At 33.5% G+C, this 14,176-nt stretch overlaps 1 protein-coding gene across 3 annotated transcripts in view; it reads right to left on the bottom strand.

Moving 5' to 3' along the window:
• The window catches only part of BANK1 (B cell scaffold protein with ankyrin repeats 1), a 284,083-nt gene that overhangs the window by 257,596 nt on the left and 12,311 nt on the right, over positions 1–14,176 (bottom strand). The window contains exon 1 of one of the 3 annotated variants that reach the window (NM_001083907.3): positions 3,279–3,375. The exons of the other annotated variants lie outside the window; for them this stretch is intronic. The gene's annotated coding sequence lies outside the window, so the exon portion shown is untranslated. Of the gene's footprint in view, positions 1–3,278; positions 3,376–14,176 lie in introns of those variants that run through there. 3 annotated transcript variants of the gene reach the window in all.

The raw sequence follows: 14,176 nt of genomic DNA, 5'->3' as shown, positions 1-14,176 counted from the left end.
TCTTTATAATAGAACAATTTACACTCCTTTGGGTATATAAATTATTGAATCTCACCATTAGATGGGCCTCTTTGCATTTTGAAGGAAACAAACATATTTGGGCCCATTTACCGGGTAGCCAGTAACAATACCAGTTTTGAGTAGGAGCAAAAAAGGGCTCTACTACACAGTCAGGCTGCAATGCACACTACACTGTCCTTTGAGCTTTATAACAAAGCTTTATTAAATTTCTGGCAACTCTCAATAGGAGATCCACAACACATACCCCTGAGATTTTGGAGGAATACCATTCCTTATTCTTCCGTTGACTCCTTTCTATTTGAAAATTAACTTGTGAGTTATTATTGGATCCAGACTGAGATTAATGTCTGCTTATATTATACCAAGTGTTTATGTAGTCTAACTGGCCATTAATAAACTGGGTGTTATGTGATCTAGCAAATTATAATTTGGTTGTAAGAAATAATATTCCATTAGAAAAAAGTATGATATATACAAAACCAGACTCAGGCAATTCTGGATGGGACAAGTAAGTGCCATGAGCCTGTAGCTTAAGCTTCTGTGACACCAAATCTTACCGCTTTACCACTCCTCCCTCAACATACATCTGTAACCTCATGAGGAATTACTAAACCTGTTAACAGAAAAAAAAAAAAAAAGAAGCATGGCATTAGTTTCCAGATCATTCTGAAAAATATGCCAGCACCAGTCCAAAGTGAATGGTTGCTACATCACAGCCCCACTCATGGTGAAAGGAAATTCTTCCAGTTGATGGAAGTTCATGTAATATATTTGAGAGACCACTTTGATTTAGAGAAAAGATGGCTTGAGCTATGGATGGAACTACATTGAACAAACTAAGAAGAAATAGGAAAGGACATGTTCATTTCATTTCAGAATTAAATATACAAACTAAATTACTAAACAAGAAAAGATAGCTAGGAAACATGAGCCTATGCCTTTTGTGACATACAAAGGAAAATTAGACTTGAACTCATGTTTCTCAGTTTTCCTTTGCGAGCAATTATACCTGCATAACAAGCCTTTGACCACATCGGTGATCAACAAATGCCCACTGAAAACTTTTAGAGCTACAGATGAGGCTGCAATAGGATCAAAGTTTCATAGGTTTTATATGGTTGTAAGAAAACTCATCTTGGAAATTCCTTGTCCTCTGGCAAAGCACTTTCCACAAACACATAAAAGTTCATTTCAAGGAAAAAACATATAATTACATAAAAGTTAGGGTAGTTAGGGTAGATATTTTGAATACATGGAACAGAGACATTATTATGCTAATGGACTAATTTTAAATACTTGTAATAGTTTGTAAAGTGTATAAATTTCTAAAAATCCTTTAGAAGTACACTTTTAAAAGTGAAGTTTATTTATGTAGATTATACCTTAATATTCTTGACTATAAAAAACAAGAGTGTGACAAAAATTAGTAAAAATCATAAAATTGGATTTAAAAAAACATGTCTAGAGCTCTGGTGGCAACTCCTTAACAGAGTACTTAAAGTATTTAAAATACATTTTAAAACCTATTAATTTTTAAATATCTTTTGTAAACCTAAAAATGTATAAAGTCAGAACTTGATCCAAATCTATTATATCTATCAATAATAATTTCAGTACATCTCTGATTTGAAAATAGAATCTTCTTTAAATTACTTAGTGGATGTTGGTGTAATTTAAAAGTGAAAATTATTTCTTGAAGAAATAATTGACATTTTAACCAATAATAAATGTAGATTATAGTACTCAGACCTCAAAATGACATATGTTTAAAAATCCCAGGTGCAATACTTACAATTTTATTTTGTGATAAATTAGTAGTAGTTTCTACTTACTCCTCAATTTTTATATTTCCAGTTTTATTACATCCATATAAAAGATGGCAAATACCCTGGAGGGGCAGGATTCAGAATATGCTTGTAGTCAGTCCCCCAATTTTACCTGTAATTGTTTTGTTAAGCTCCTGTAGCATGAGGGCATATGTTCTGACAGTTCCTGACCTATGGTCCGGGGTCTCCTGTGGCTGGGTGGGTATATCTCTCTAATTCTAGGATTTCACATTATAAACTCCACTTTCTCACAGATATAAGCCATTTGAGCCAATTATCAACTTCATCAGTAACAAAGGCAATATTTGATTTCCCCCTTCCCTTATTCTTTGTCATATTTCTTAATACTGCTTAACAACTCAAACATTGAAGAGGGTTATTTATTGCTCAATCCTCACCCCTATACCCAATACATGTCCCTGAACTCTTATGCTGAAAAGTGTCTTTACATTCTATTATATAATAAATGTGCCACATTTCAAAGTACACTGAATTCCATTCAATAGTAATAATATACAAAGTACATTCACATGAATATTATGGTGTGTTTTTATACCATTCTTAGTATTACAGTTTTAAGGAAAGAATTTTAACTCAAGTTAATGAAAAAACAAAAATGTTAAACAAAAACGTTAAAGCCACAGCTAGAAAGTTTAAGAGACTTGCCCAAGGTCACACCAATAGTAAGTCATTAAGCTGGACTTAAATTCACATCATCTATTGCCAACTCTACTTCAAGTATCAAACCATACCACAGGCAGTATTATTGACAAAATGAAATAAAACTCCAGTCCGTTTCTTGAGGTTCTCAACGGATAAAGCATATGACCAGCTGATCAGATTAAAAAGAGAATAACTTTAGTTTCACCAGCAAATCTAATTTTGCTTTCCTAGTTCCGAGAAAAAGAAAACTCTGTTGGCATTTCCCTTGTTTCCTTGTTCTTTCTCTCTACTTAATTCAACAGCTTCTTTCCAGAACACAAGATGGTGGCAGTGGTGGAAAAAAGACAGTAAGCATAATCATGACTTGAGAGCAATGACCCAAACAGAGTACTTAAAAGATCTAAAATTTGTTTTACCTGCCTGAATACTTTTCATGGGCTTTAGGCAGATTTAACTGTAAAATGAATGCTTTTTAGCCTGTATTACTAAAGCATGTAAGTTAGGGATGTAATAAATACACTCCTAACTAACTGCAATGAGATCTTGCAATTAATTACATTGGCAAGTATTTGTGTACAGTGACACTAATATCTTTCAAGGGCTTTTTTATGTACAGAGTTACATGGGATGTCACACTTTGGAAACATAACTGATTAAAACATAACTTTAGCAAACCCCTCTAAAGAAATATCATCTCAAAATTTATATCATACGTATCAATGGTAAAATATCTTAGAAATAGCTATATACTAGAAGATATATACATACCAAAACAAAGAATAGGCTGAATTTCTACTCATCAGATGCAAGCAAAACCAGCAAGCAAGTAGTCCCCCACCCTCTTCCTGATGTGTGCATCCTCTGCAGCCCTTGTTGGCCAGAAGGGAAATTGCAGACCTAGCAAAGTGTGTCTCCTACCACCCGCAGAAGCTCCCCAAGGCCTCCTGCGGCCTATGTTCACAGTAAACATAACTTCTGCATGGAGTTTACAAGATAGCAAGGGCTAAAAATTCTAGGTAACTCTAAAACAATCCTCAGTTCTGCTGCAGCACTTGGTCACGACTACATTTCTCCTAGAGTGACATTGTCTTTACATAATGCGGTCAAGGACGCACACCCATCAGAACCACTTTTGGGCACTTGATCAAATCAGAATTTCCAGAATTGGGGTTCAGGAAAGGATTATCAAGTAACTAAGCACTTTGGTAATTCTTAAGTCCACTCAAGTTTGAGAATCACCATAGTGGCTTTTTTATACTGACAGTATTTCCAGTATCATAGTAGATGATTACAGTCACAATTTTTTTTATTTCTCAAGTTTTGCTAATGTGAAAAAAGAAAATAAATATTTTAGGATTTTTTCTTTGAGGAAAATAAATTGAAATAGCTCAAATGTTATTTATTAAGGAACCAAATACATGTGACTTATTAAATTCACTAAAATCATTAACTTGCCCAAAATCTACCTTAATTCACCAAAGTGATTTTTGTTAGATGAGGGCCAAATCATCTATTTACGGACAAAGAACACAATATTTAACATTATGTATCTAAAACTTAGATTGCAATTCTGAAGTGAATATTGTATATAAATACAAATATGATGTTTATCCAAAACTATAAAAAATAATATCAATGGTGATTCAGGGGGGTGTTTATAATACAGTATGTGATTAAATAAAAGCAATTTTTAAAGAGTATTTAAATTCATACTAACTTTAACAAAGATTACTTTTTTACTATTATTAATTCCCACATTCCAGGTGTCATATTAGGAAAATTCACAGTTCAGAATTTAGGCACTAACCTGTTTACAAAAGCCAAAGTTAAAAAAATTAATGTTCAATTATTTTTGTCCCTGGGTAACATTTTGTACAAGATTGAATACCAAACTCTTTTCTGAACTGAAATAATGAAGCATTGGAAATTCCTGGTGGGGTTGCTTTGATTAATATTTGACACTTAGAAGTATGCAATATAATAATATCTAGGCATAATTTTAATAAAAAATGTGAACCTCTAAAAAATGATTTTAGAATATGAAGAACCAGGGAGAAATATTCCAATCATTTATATTTTCTTCTCTCCTATTAAAATGCATAGAATAGTATCATCAAAAACCGAAGCTCTACATCATATAAATGTCTTAAAGATAGAGCTATGTCAAGAATATATAAAAATAAACGTTTTACATTTATTCTTAAATTTTAGTAATTCATTTTATTTAATGAATCTCACTGCTTAATTATTTACCTTTAAATATAGTGTAGAGAAATAGCAATCCAAATATTAAATGTTTCCCTAGATTTTTTAATCTGAGTTTGTAAAAATAAGATACTATTATTTTAACATTTCACCACTTGAACTTGAAGATATTCCTTTATGTTAATGTACTTTATAATTGTAATCAAAGTTGAAAATCAGCAACAGACACTTAAAAATATATATAATTAAAGATACAGTTTATTCTTTGGAACTTCTTACTAATTCCAGTTATATTTCACAGAATAATCTTCTTTACCCATCTATGACTCTAATCTTCATTACCTTAACATTTTTTAGTTCTCACACATCACTGGAATTTTCAGACCAGGTATTTTAAAATTCAACAAGATAACTTACCATAATCATTCATAAGTATTATAATGTTGATAAAAAACCTCAATATTAATTCTCTAATCACTTAAACTTTTGTTTATATGTTTATGTAATAGTTATTTAATGATTATTATAAAGAACAATTTTTCAGACTTTAAGAGATAAAAGATTATAAAGCCCAATTCCTGCCCTTAAAAAAACTTGCATATTATAAAAAGGAAATGGACTTCTATAAATTACTTTAACACAAAGTAGTTTATTCTAATATCTCATTAAGACCTGTGGTGAAGGAATCTTCTTATCTTATTTATCCCAGGGTTCATGTAAAAGTATTGTCTTGGAAGGAAAGTGTCAATAAATCTTTAAGTATCACAAAGTGCAGAACTGAAAAATTTACAAATCAAAAAGATCTGAATTTTATAAAATGTCCCTGTTTGACAAATGGCCCTGATTTTTCACGGTTTGGCATTTTTAAAATGTATCATGAATGAATGGGTACACAATATTGAGAATTACAAAACCATAAACACAATATGAGCTTCTTTATGTATATACACAAAAACTAATACAATTCAAGACAAATATTATCAATATTTCTGAGTGGAGGGCTGCAGTATATTATAATATTATTCTTACATTTTTTATTCCTCAAATATTCTAGAATGTGTAAACATTATTTTTATAAGAGAGTAGCTTTTAAATTATGCCTTATGGTTCCATATGATCCTATCCCAACTGAAATTTTACCACTAGGAGAAAATGGTCTCAAAAAAATTCCCTACCAGGGTTAAAAATGGTTCATGTTCTAAGATATTAAAATAAAGTGAGACCATAAAATAATATTGCTGACCTTTTAAAAAGATTAGAATAATACTTGTACATCTAACAAGTTGTCTGTCTTAGAAATTTTGTTTGGGGGCTTGGGTTGGAATGGGGCCTTATTTAATGGAAGCACACAGCAGCTAGCACAAAGACTCATAGAAGTTTCACAAAACATTTCAGGAACAGTCCTGACCCTGTCATTTAAAAGCTCTTTAATTTTAGTTAGGTGACTTCCTATACTCTGAGCTTCAGTTGCTTGAGCTGAAGAAATGGAGATACTGATCCCTCATTCGTAGAGATAAAATATGAAGCCCGCATGCCTGGTTTAAGACCTGGTGACCAGCAATCATTGATACGTACAGCAGTAATAATGATGATAATGATCATGATACCTATAATAAAGGCTACCAAAATGCAGTAAATGCCTAATATATGCTAATGAATGTTCTGATGCTTTATAAGCATTAATTTACTTTAACTTCATAGCAATCCTGTGCTCTTTGTATCCCCTTTGGCACTTGTGGAAAATGAACCACTGATAAAATAAATACATATTTGTACTAGTAAGAATTATAACAGCAGCAGTAGCCAACAGTATTATTGATGAGAATAATTAAATTGATAAAACCACTGATTGTAAATAAACAATAATGGGACATTCTTATTTATTTTGTTTGGTCAATAAAATATAACAGTGAATTCCTGAAAGATGTTCCAATAATGTATAAATATATATCTTGCCAAAGATGACTACCTAAGGGTAACATTGATATGTTCTTCACACTTTATAAAAGCTTATTTCTTCATGGTTACATCTATTTTTCTTTTTAACTAGACTGATGGTGTATAAATGCCTGATGCGGAAGGTCCTATCTGCAGTATTTATGGTACTCTTGCTTTTGCATAGCCCACATGTGTTTAGATATCTGTATGTTTCCTAATGCTCCTGTAAAAAAATTAATCACAAATTTAGTGGGTTTAAAGCAACACAAGCTATTATCTTACAGTTCTGAAAGTTAGGAGTTTGAAATGGGTCTCAACTTGACAATAATCCAGATATTTGCAGGGCTACATTATTTCTATAGGCCTTAGGAATCAATATATTTACTTGCATTTTTCAGCTTCTGAAGGCTACCCACAGTTCTTGACCAATGGTCCCATTCCTCCAGCTTCAAGCCAGTGATACTGGGCCAAGTCCTTCTCATGCTGCCATTTCTCTGGTGCTCACTCTTCTGCCTCCCTTTTCACTCTTAGGATCATTGTGATTATATTGGGCCCAACTGGACAATCCATGATAATCTCCCTATCTCAAAGTCAGCTGATTAGCAATCTTAATTCTATCTGCAACCTTAATTCTTCTCTGCCATAAAACATAACATATTCACAGGTCTGGGGCTTAGGACACAGACACTTTTGAGGTACCATTGTTCTGTCTACCACACCATCCGAACACTGCTTTCAGCTATAGTTCCTTCTCTTCCTTTCCTAAAGCCTTTTGAAGTAAAATGGATATATGTGCAGTATACTTTCTGCTTCACTTCACACAGTATTTGTAGCATAGCCCTGATTAAGTGGCTTATATGATCATTGTTTAGATTTCTCCATGAGTCAAAGCAAATAACACATTAGAAAAATTTTCTAGGAGTCAATTAGTGGGAGCTTGAAAGTTCCTTTGAGAATGCGAAGCATTAGGGAAATGCAAATTATTATCTTTCCATTTTTAAAGTACTCTTTATTACTGGCATTTTATAATATGTATTTGTAACAGTATCCACTATTTTTTATTTTTTATATATATTTATTTCAGTAGTTTTGGGGGGAACAGGTAGTTTTTGGTTACATGGAGAAGTTCTTTAGTGGTTTTGGTGCATCCATCACCTAAGCAGTGTACACTGTACCTAATATGTAGTCTTTTATCCCTCATCCCCCTCCAACCCTTCTGCCCGAGTTGCCAAAGTCCATCATATCATTCTTATGCCTTTGCATCCTCATAGCTTAGCCCCCATTTATAACTGAGAACAAACAATATTTGTTTTTCCATTCCCGAGTTACTTCACTTAGAATAATGGCCTCCAGCTCCATCGAGTTTGCTGGAAAGGCCATTATTTCATTCTGTTTTATGAGCAAGCAGTATTCCATGGTGTATATATACCAGTTTTCTTTACCCACTCATTGATTGATGGGCATTTATGTTGGTTACCTATTTTTGCAATTGCAAATTGTGCTGCTATAAACAGATGTGTCCATGTGTCTTTTTCATATAATGACTTCTTTTCCTTTGGGTAGATACCCAGTAGTGGGATTGCTGGATCAAATGGTAGATCTACTTTTAGTTCTTTAAGGACTCTCCATACTGTTTTCCATAGTGGTTATACTAGTTTACATTCCCACTACCAGTGTAAAAGTGTTCACTTTTCACATGGACTCCAACATCTATTTTTTTAACTTTTTAATTATGGCCATTCTTGAAGGAATAAGGTGGTATCTCATTGTGGTTTTAATTTGCATTTCCCTGATAATTAGTGATGTTGAGCATTTTTCATATGTTTGTTGGCTATTTATATATCTTCTTTTGGTAACTGTCTATTCATGTCCTTTGCCCCCTTTTTGATGGGATTTTTTTTTTTCTTGCTGATTTGAGTTCCTTGTGCATTCTGGATATTAGTCCTTTGTCAGACGCATAGTTTGCAAATATTTTCTCCCACGCTGTGGATTGTTTGTTTACTCTAGTGATTAATCACAACTGTATTACAGCTTTGATGATTTTTAAATAACCTAATGGTGATCATTAAAGACACAATTTTTCTAGCTTACATTGTAGATATTTTGCTTCCTGTTCACCTCCAAGGACCTTGAAAGTAGCAAAACTCTATAAATTTTTACTTTTATCAACTGGAAATTGTGCTTCTCTGTTCTATCCCTTGGAAAGAATGTCTCTATGTTGATCTATTAGTAGGTGACAATATCAATATTTTATATTACATATTTTTCTATTAAAAAACTAGAACCTTATTTATCTAAAAAACAGAAATGTCTACACGGGAGGAAAACCTTTCTGGTATGAGCACAAATATATATTTGCAAGAGAATTAAATAAGTTTATTTCAGATAAACATATAGTGGTTAAGAGGCCAGGCTTTCAAGTCAGGCTGTCTTGGATTTTATTTTTTATTTTTTTAAATTTCATTTCTTTTTTTTTTTTTTGAGAGTCTTGCTCTGTCACCCCGGCTGGAGTGCAGTGGCGTGTGATCTCCACTCACTGCAACCTCCACATCCCGGGTTCAAGCGATTCTCCTGCCTCACTCTCCCGAGTAGCTGGGACTACAGGTGTGCGCCACCACAGCCAGCTAATTTTTTTTTTTATTTTTAGTAGAGACGGGGTTTCACCATGTTGGCCAGGCTGGTCTTGAACTCCTGACCTCAGGTGATCCACCCACCTCAGTCTCCCAAACTGCTGGGATTACAGGCGTGAGCCACCACGCCCGGCCCTGAATTTTAAAAATCCAGGTCTATCACTGACTAACTATATGGCCTGAAGCAAATAATGAACCTTGTTGTGCCTAGATTTCCTGCTTGTAACACGTGGATAACACCACCTATGGAATCAGTGTGAGAATTAAGGAAGATAAAGCATGTAGAGCATTTATCATAGTGCCTGACACCTGCTGCTAACAAAACTTTGTTTCAACTTTCTGGAAAGTGAAACCTCCTTTTGGAGAACAGTGGAAGGGATCCAATCTCCAGGAGACATAGTGGCAGGCAGTCACAGAGGGAGAAAGTCAGTTTCTTTTTAGAATACTTATCCAATCCTGATGACTTCCAGGACAATGTCTCGGTTTGGAGCTCTGGTTCCTCATGAATTCCAACACTATCAAAGAGAGTGAACTTTATGCCCAGAGCCTGTCCTTAGCTATAATTTTTTCAACCATTTTATTTTCAATCTGTATGTTTGTATGTTTACCTTCTACTTATGGCAGTAGTGATTTTCTTATCTACGGCAGTGATATAAAGTGCTCCTTTAAAATATCTGACATTTAAGCTAAAAAAGAAAGTCAGTCTAAGAAAAATTTTTCTTGTACAAGAGGACAGGTAGAATAACAAAAATTGAGGAAGGTCTTATGAGAATAACTGAAATTTGCAAAGCACTGTCCCAGGGGACTGTACTCATGACTGCCTTCTGAAATGACTGGTGATTTTCTGGAACAGCAGTTATGCATCAGTAGTCACCCCCGGTTGCTAAAGAAAACACTCTTAGCTGTTGCTTCTCCTTGCTAACTAGTTCTCATGGCTGAATTATTCAGACTTTTGTGAACTTAGGGTATTTGAGTCATCTGATATTGGGTTAGGGTAAAGATAAAATGAAATAGAGCTGTTCAACTTGTTCTATTCCTATTTCACTTAAATACAGTCCCTGATGGGAGTAGCCACCTTTTGTGTATCCCCTGAATTGAGCACAGGAGTACAAGAATAAATGGTTGAAGAATAAATGAATGATGGATAATTATCCCTGCATAAGATTATGGGGCCTTTAGTCTACTCTTTCTCAATGAATATACTAAATTCCAAGTGCTGAGCAAAAGCTATTTTCATCTCTGCAGTGTTTTTGTTCAGATCAGAGATATTAATTGCATTACTATTATGCACCATGTATTATGAACCAAGTATTCTCATGGATAATTAATGTGAGTATCAATATACATAATATTGCCTCTCCTAGGCATCAGAGAGGTTGCATAGCTGGCAAAAAGTGAAGTTCTGTTAGTGACAGAGCCAAGGCTTCATCCTGTACTTATTCAACTTCAAATCCAGTGCAACGTATTTCTATGTTATTAAGAACTACTCAGTCTTTCTGTAGATTAATTAATAGTCGTCTTATATGGAGGATGATCTATCCTATTATTCAATAAGTCATCAAGGATCTTAATTTTTTATTTTTTTTTAAACATTGTATAATAGATTTATATGGAGCGAGAGCAAAACTAAAATATTGAAAAATGACACCTCACCAAATAGCCATGAAAATGTAACATTAAAGCATGTACAAATATTAAATATATTAAAGCTACAAAACTGAACAAGTAAAACTAATAAAAGTAATGTATAAAAAACCTAGAAGTACATATATGACAGTTTTTTCCAGTTTTTTGTTTTTATTACATATTTTCAATTATGTTCATGTATTATTTTAGAAAAAGAAAAATAAAAGAAAATATATTAATATTCTAGGCACACATAGAGGATATTAAGTTTTATTTGCTTTTAGACCCTAATCACACTTTTTCTCTCTACTTGCCCTAGAAGATATTATAGTTCACTAAATATTCAAAGTTATATTAAAAGGCTGTAGGAATCTTAGCCAAAATATACTACTTGTTATCAGATTAAAAGTTAATTTCATATTGGAAAATACCTTAAGATTATCTTTGTGTAAAAGGCTTCATGAATTTTAAAGATTTTTTTTCATAATCAAATGAAGCTCTTCCACAAACCAAAGAGTTTGAAAAAGATTGCCAAAACCAGGGTGTTAGTTTAAGATTGGACATAAGAACTCTGAGGCTGTTCATGTGGCATTCAGAAATGGCTACGACTTTATTTGTATATTTATCTGAGGCTGTACATATAAATAATATACAAACTTATTTGTATATTATTTATATGTATATAATACATAATGTATATAATGTATTATTATACAAATAATAAATATTTGTATATTTATTATTTATTTATCTGAGGCTGTTCATGTGGCATTCAGAAACGGCTACAGCTTTATTTGTCCTTTTTCAGATACTTAATTAGCTACTCTAATGTCACTCTTGGTACTAACTAGTCAGCCAGCATCTATTAACATGCTTATGTCTACTGAACTGATGCCAGAGGTTACCCTTTTCTTTAAAGAGCATCCCACCTGAGTACTAAAGCTACTGTCATATTAATGTTGTTTTCTATATGTCCTGTTAAGTTAGTTAACCTCAAAGACATAAAATTCATTCTTGTCTAAATTACTTGCATTTATGTAAGTTAATGTCATTTTAGATAGAAAAATATTTCAACAATAATTTGCTTAGATGACTCTTAACAGCCCATATGTTTGCTTTAAATATGTTTCATTGACAAACATTTCTAACATGAAAAAAATCTGTTTATAGCCACTGCAGTCAAATAGTTCTTAATTTTAGAACATTTTGATGTATGAAATCCCAATATTTAAATGAGATGTCACTTACATAGTTCACATGATTATTGACATAGTGGCAGATTTATATAGTCTAACATGTGAAATACCTTCAAAATAATTTGATTAGTTGAGATGCACACATGCTATTTAACTGCATAAACACACACATTCAAAATATTCTTACACAATTGATGCTTGAACGATGCAGGGGTTGGGACAATGACCCCTGAGCAGTTGAAAATCCCCATATAACTTTGATTCCTCAAAAACTCAACTACTGCTGACTAGAAGCTTTACCAATAACATAAACGATTTATCAACACATACTTTGTATCTTATATGTCTGATATACTATATTCTTACAATAAAGTAAGCTAGAGAAAAGAAAGTGTTATTAAGAAAATCATAAGGAAGATAAAACACATTTACAATACTGTACTGTATTTATCAATACTGTAAGTTTACATCATCTGTTTACAGGATGAATTGCCCACCATTTGAAATGGTGGGCAACTGCAGCTGCAGACCTCAATCTACAGTATGTATCAAGCAAATCACCTTTTGCTTGTAATGTCATGACTTTTCTCTTCTTCTTGGGAGTACTACCAGCATCACTAGTGGTACTTCCCATGAGTCCCATGGCATTATTCAAGGTTTACAAGATGAAGAACATACAAGAACCATGAGACATCTCTTTGTACTGTAATATGTAATTTCCTAGACAGACAAACTACTCACTCAGAGATGACTGTCATCATACACCATTTTAGCAGATACTCCCAACACTTGATCTCACTGCAGTAGCAACAGGAGGTGGCCACAAAATTATTACAGCAGGACAGTATTTACTACAGTTAATTTTATGCAGTTATGATTTAATACTGCATCTTTATAGTTGTCTACATTCTTCTTAAATGTGAATAACAACATGTATGGTCTGTATTTTTGTGACTATGTTTTGATAAATGTTAGCTTTTTCAGATTTGTATGTATTTTAAGGTAGTAAATAATAAAACAGACTAGTATCGACATAATTTTATGCATTCATGACATGTCTAATTTTTTCTTTTTTTTATATATTTCTTTTTTTTTTTTTTTTTTTTTTTTTTTTGAGACGGAGTCTCGCTCTGTCGCCCAGGCTGGAGTGCAGTGGCGGGATCTCGGCTCACTGCAAGCTCCGCTTCCCGGGTTCACGCCATTCTCCTGCCTCAGCCTCCCAAGTAGCTGGGACTACAGGCGCCCGCCACTACGCCCGGCTAATTTTTTTGTATTTTTAGTAGAGACGGGGTTTCACCGTTTTAGCCGGGATGGTCTCGATCTCCTGACCTCGTGATCCGCCCGCCTCGGCCTCCCAAAGTGCTGGGATTACAGGCGTGAGCCACCGCGCCCGGCCTTTTTATATATTTCTAGGCTACCCAGTTCATCAGCAAGTTTTTTCAAATTGTTGCAAATATCCAAAAAATTTCCAATATATTTATTGAAAAAAATCCACATATAAGTAGACCCATGAAGTTCAAATCTGTGTTTTCAAGAGTCAACTGTATTTACAATTCTCTGTGTGCTTTCCTACTTCTATTTCATTCACACACACTTTACTTTCCCTAATAGATAACCACTTTCTCATTTTCCTCTCATTTTCGCTAGCACAACCCTAACTTACCCCAACTAAATAGCTGGAATTAATCTAAAGGAATTTAAGAAATAGAAAAATTGTGTGTGCCCCACTACTCAGCCTACCAATGCCAATTTCCCTATACTATAGCCCCTTAATTTTCTGTTCCTGTTAATTCCCTCCCTCTCACTCAATGAAAATATGGCCACCAAGACTGGATCATAACTTTATTTACACTATGGCATGCATAACACTAAAGAAAATATAACTGAAAGCAGTACTACCAATTTCTGCCTGAAACAATCATTCTCTCAAGAACTAGTTGCCATTTAATAGAGATGACAAATTTGTTCAAAAGAACTTATTTCTCTATCAATGTTGAGACAACAATGCATCCCATAGTTAAATAAATATTTGTGAAACAATGTCTTAGAGGAAATTGAAGAGACATTGTTG

Source organism: Homo sapiens, chromosome 4, assembly GCF_000001405.40.
Source record: "Homo sapiens chromosome 4, GRCh38.p14 Primary Assembly".
In the NCBI taxonomy this organism is placed as follows: Eukaryota; Metazoa; Chordata; class Mammalia; order Primates; family Hominidae; genus Homo; species Homo sapiens.
This window is presented reverse-complemented; position numbering and strand designations above follow the sequence as displayed.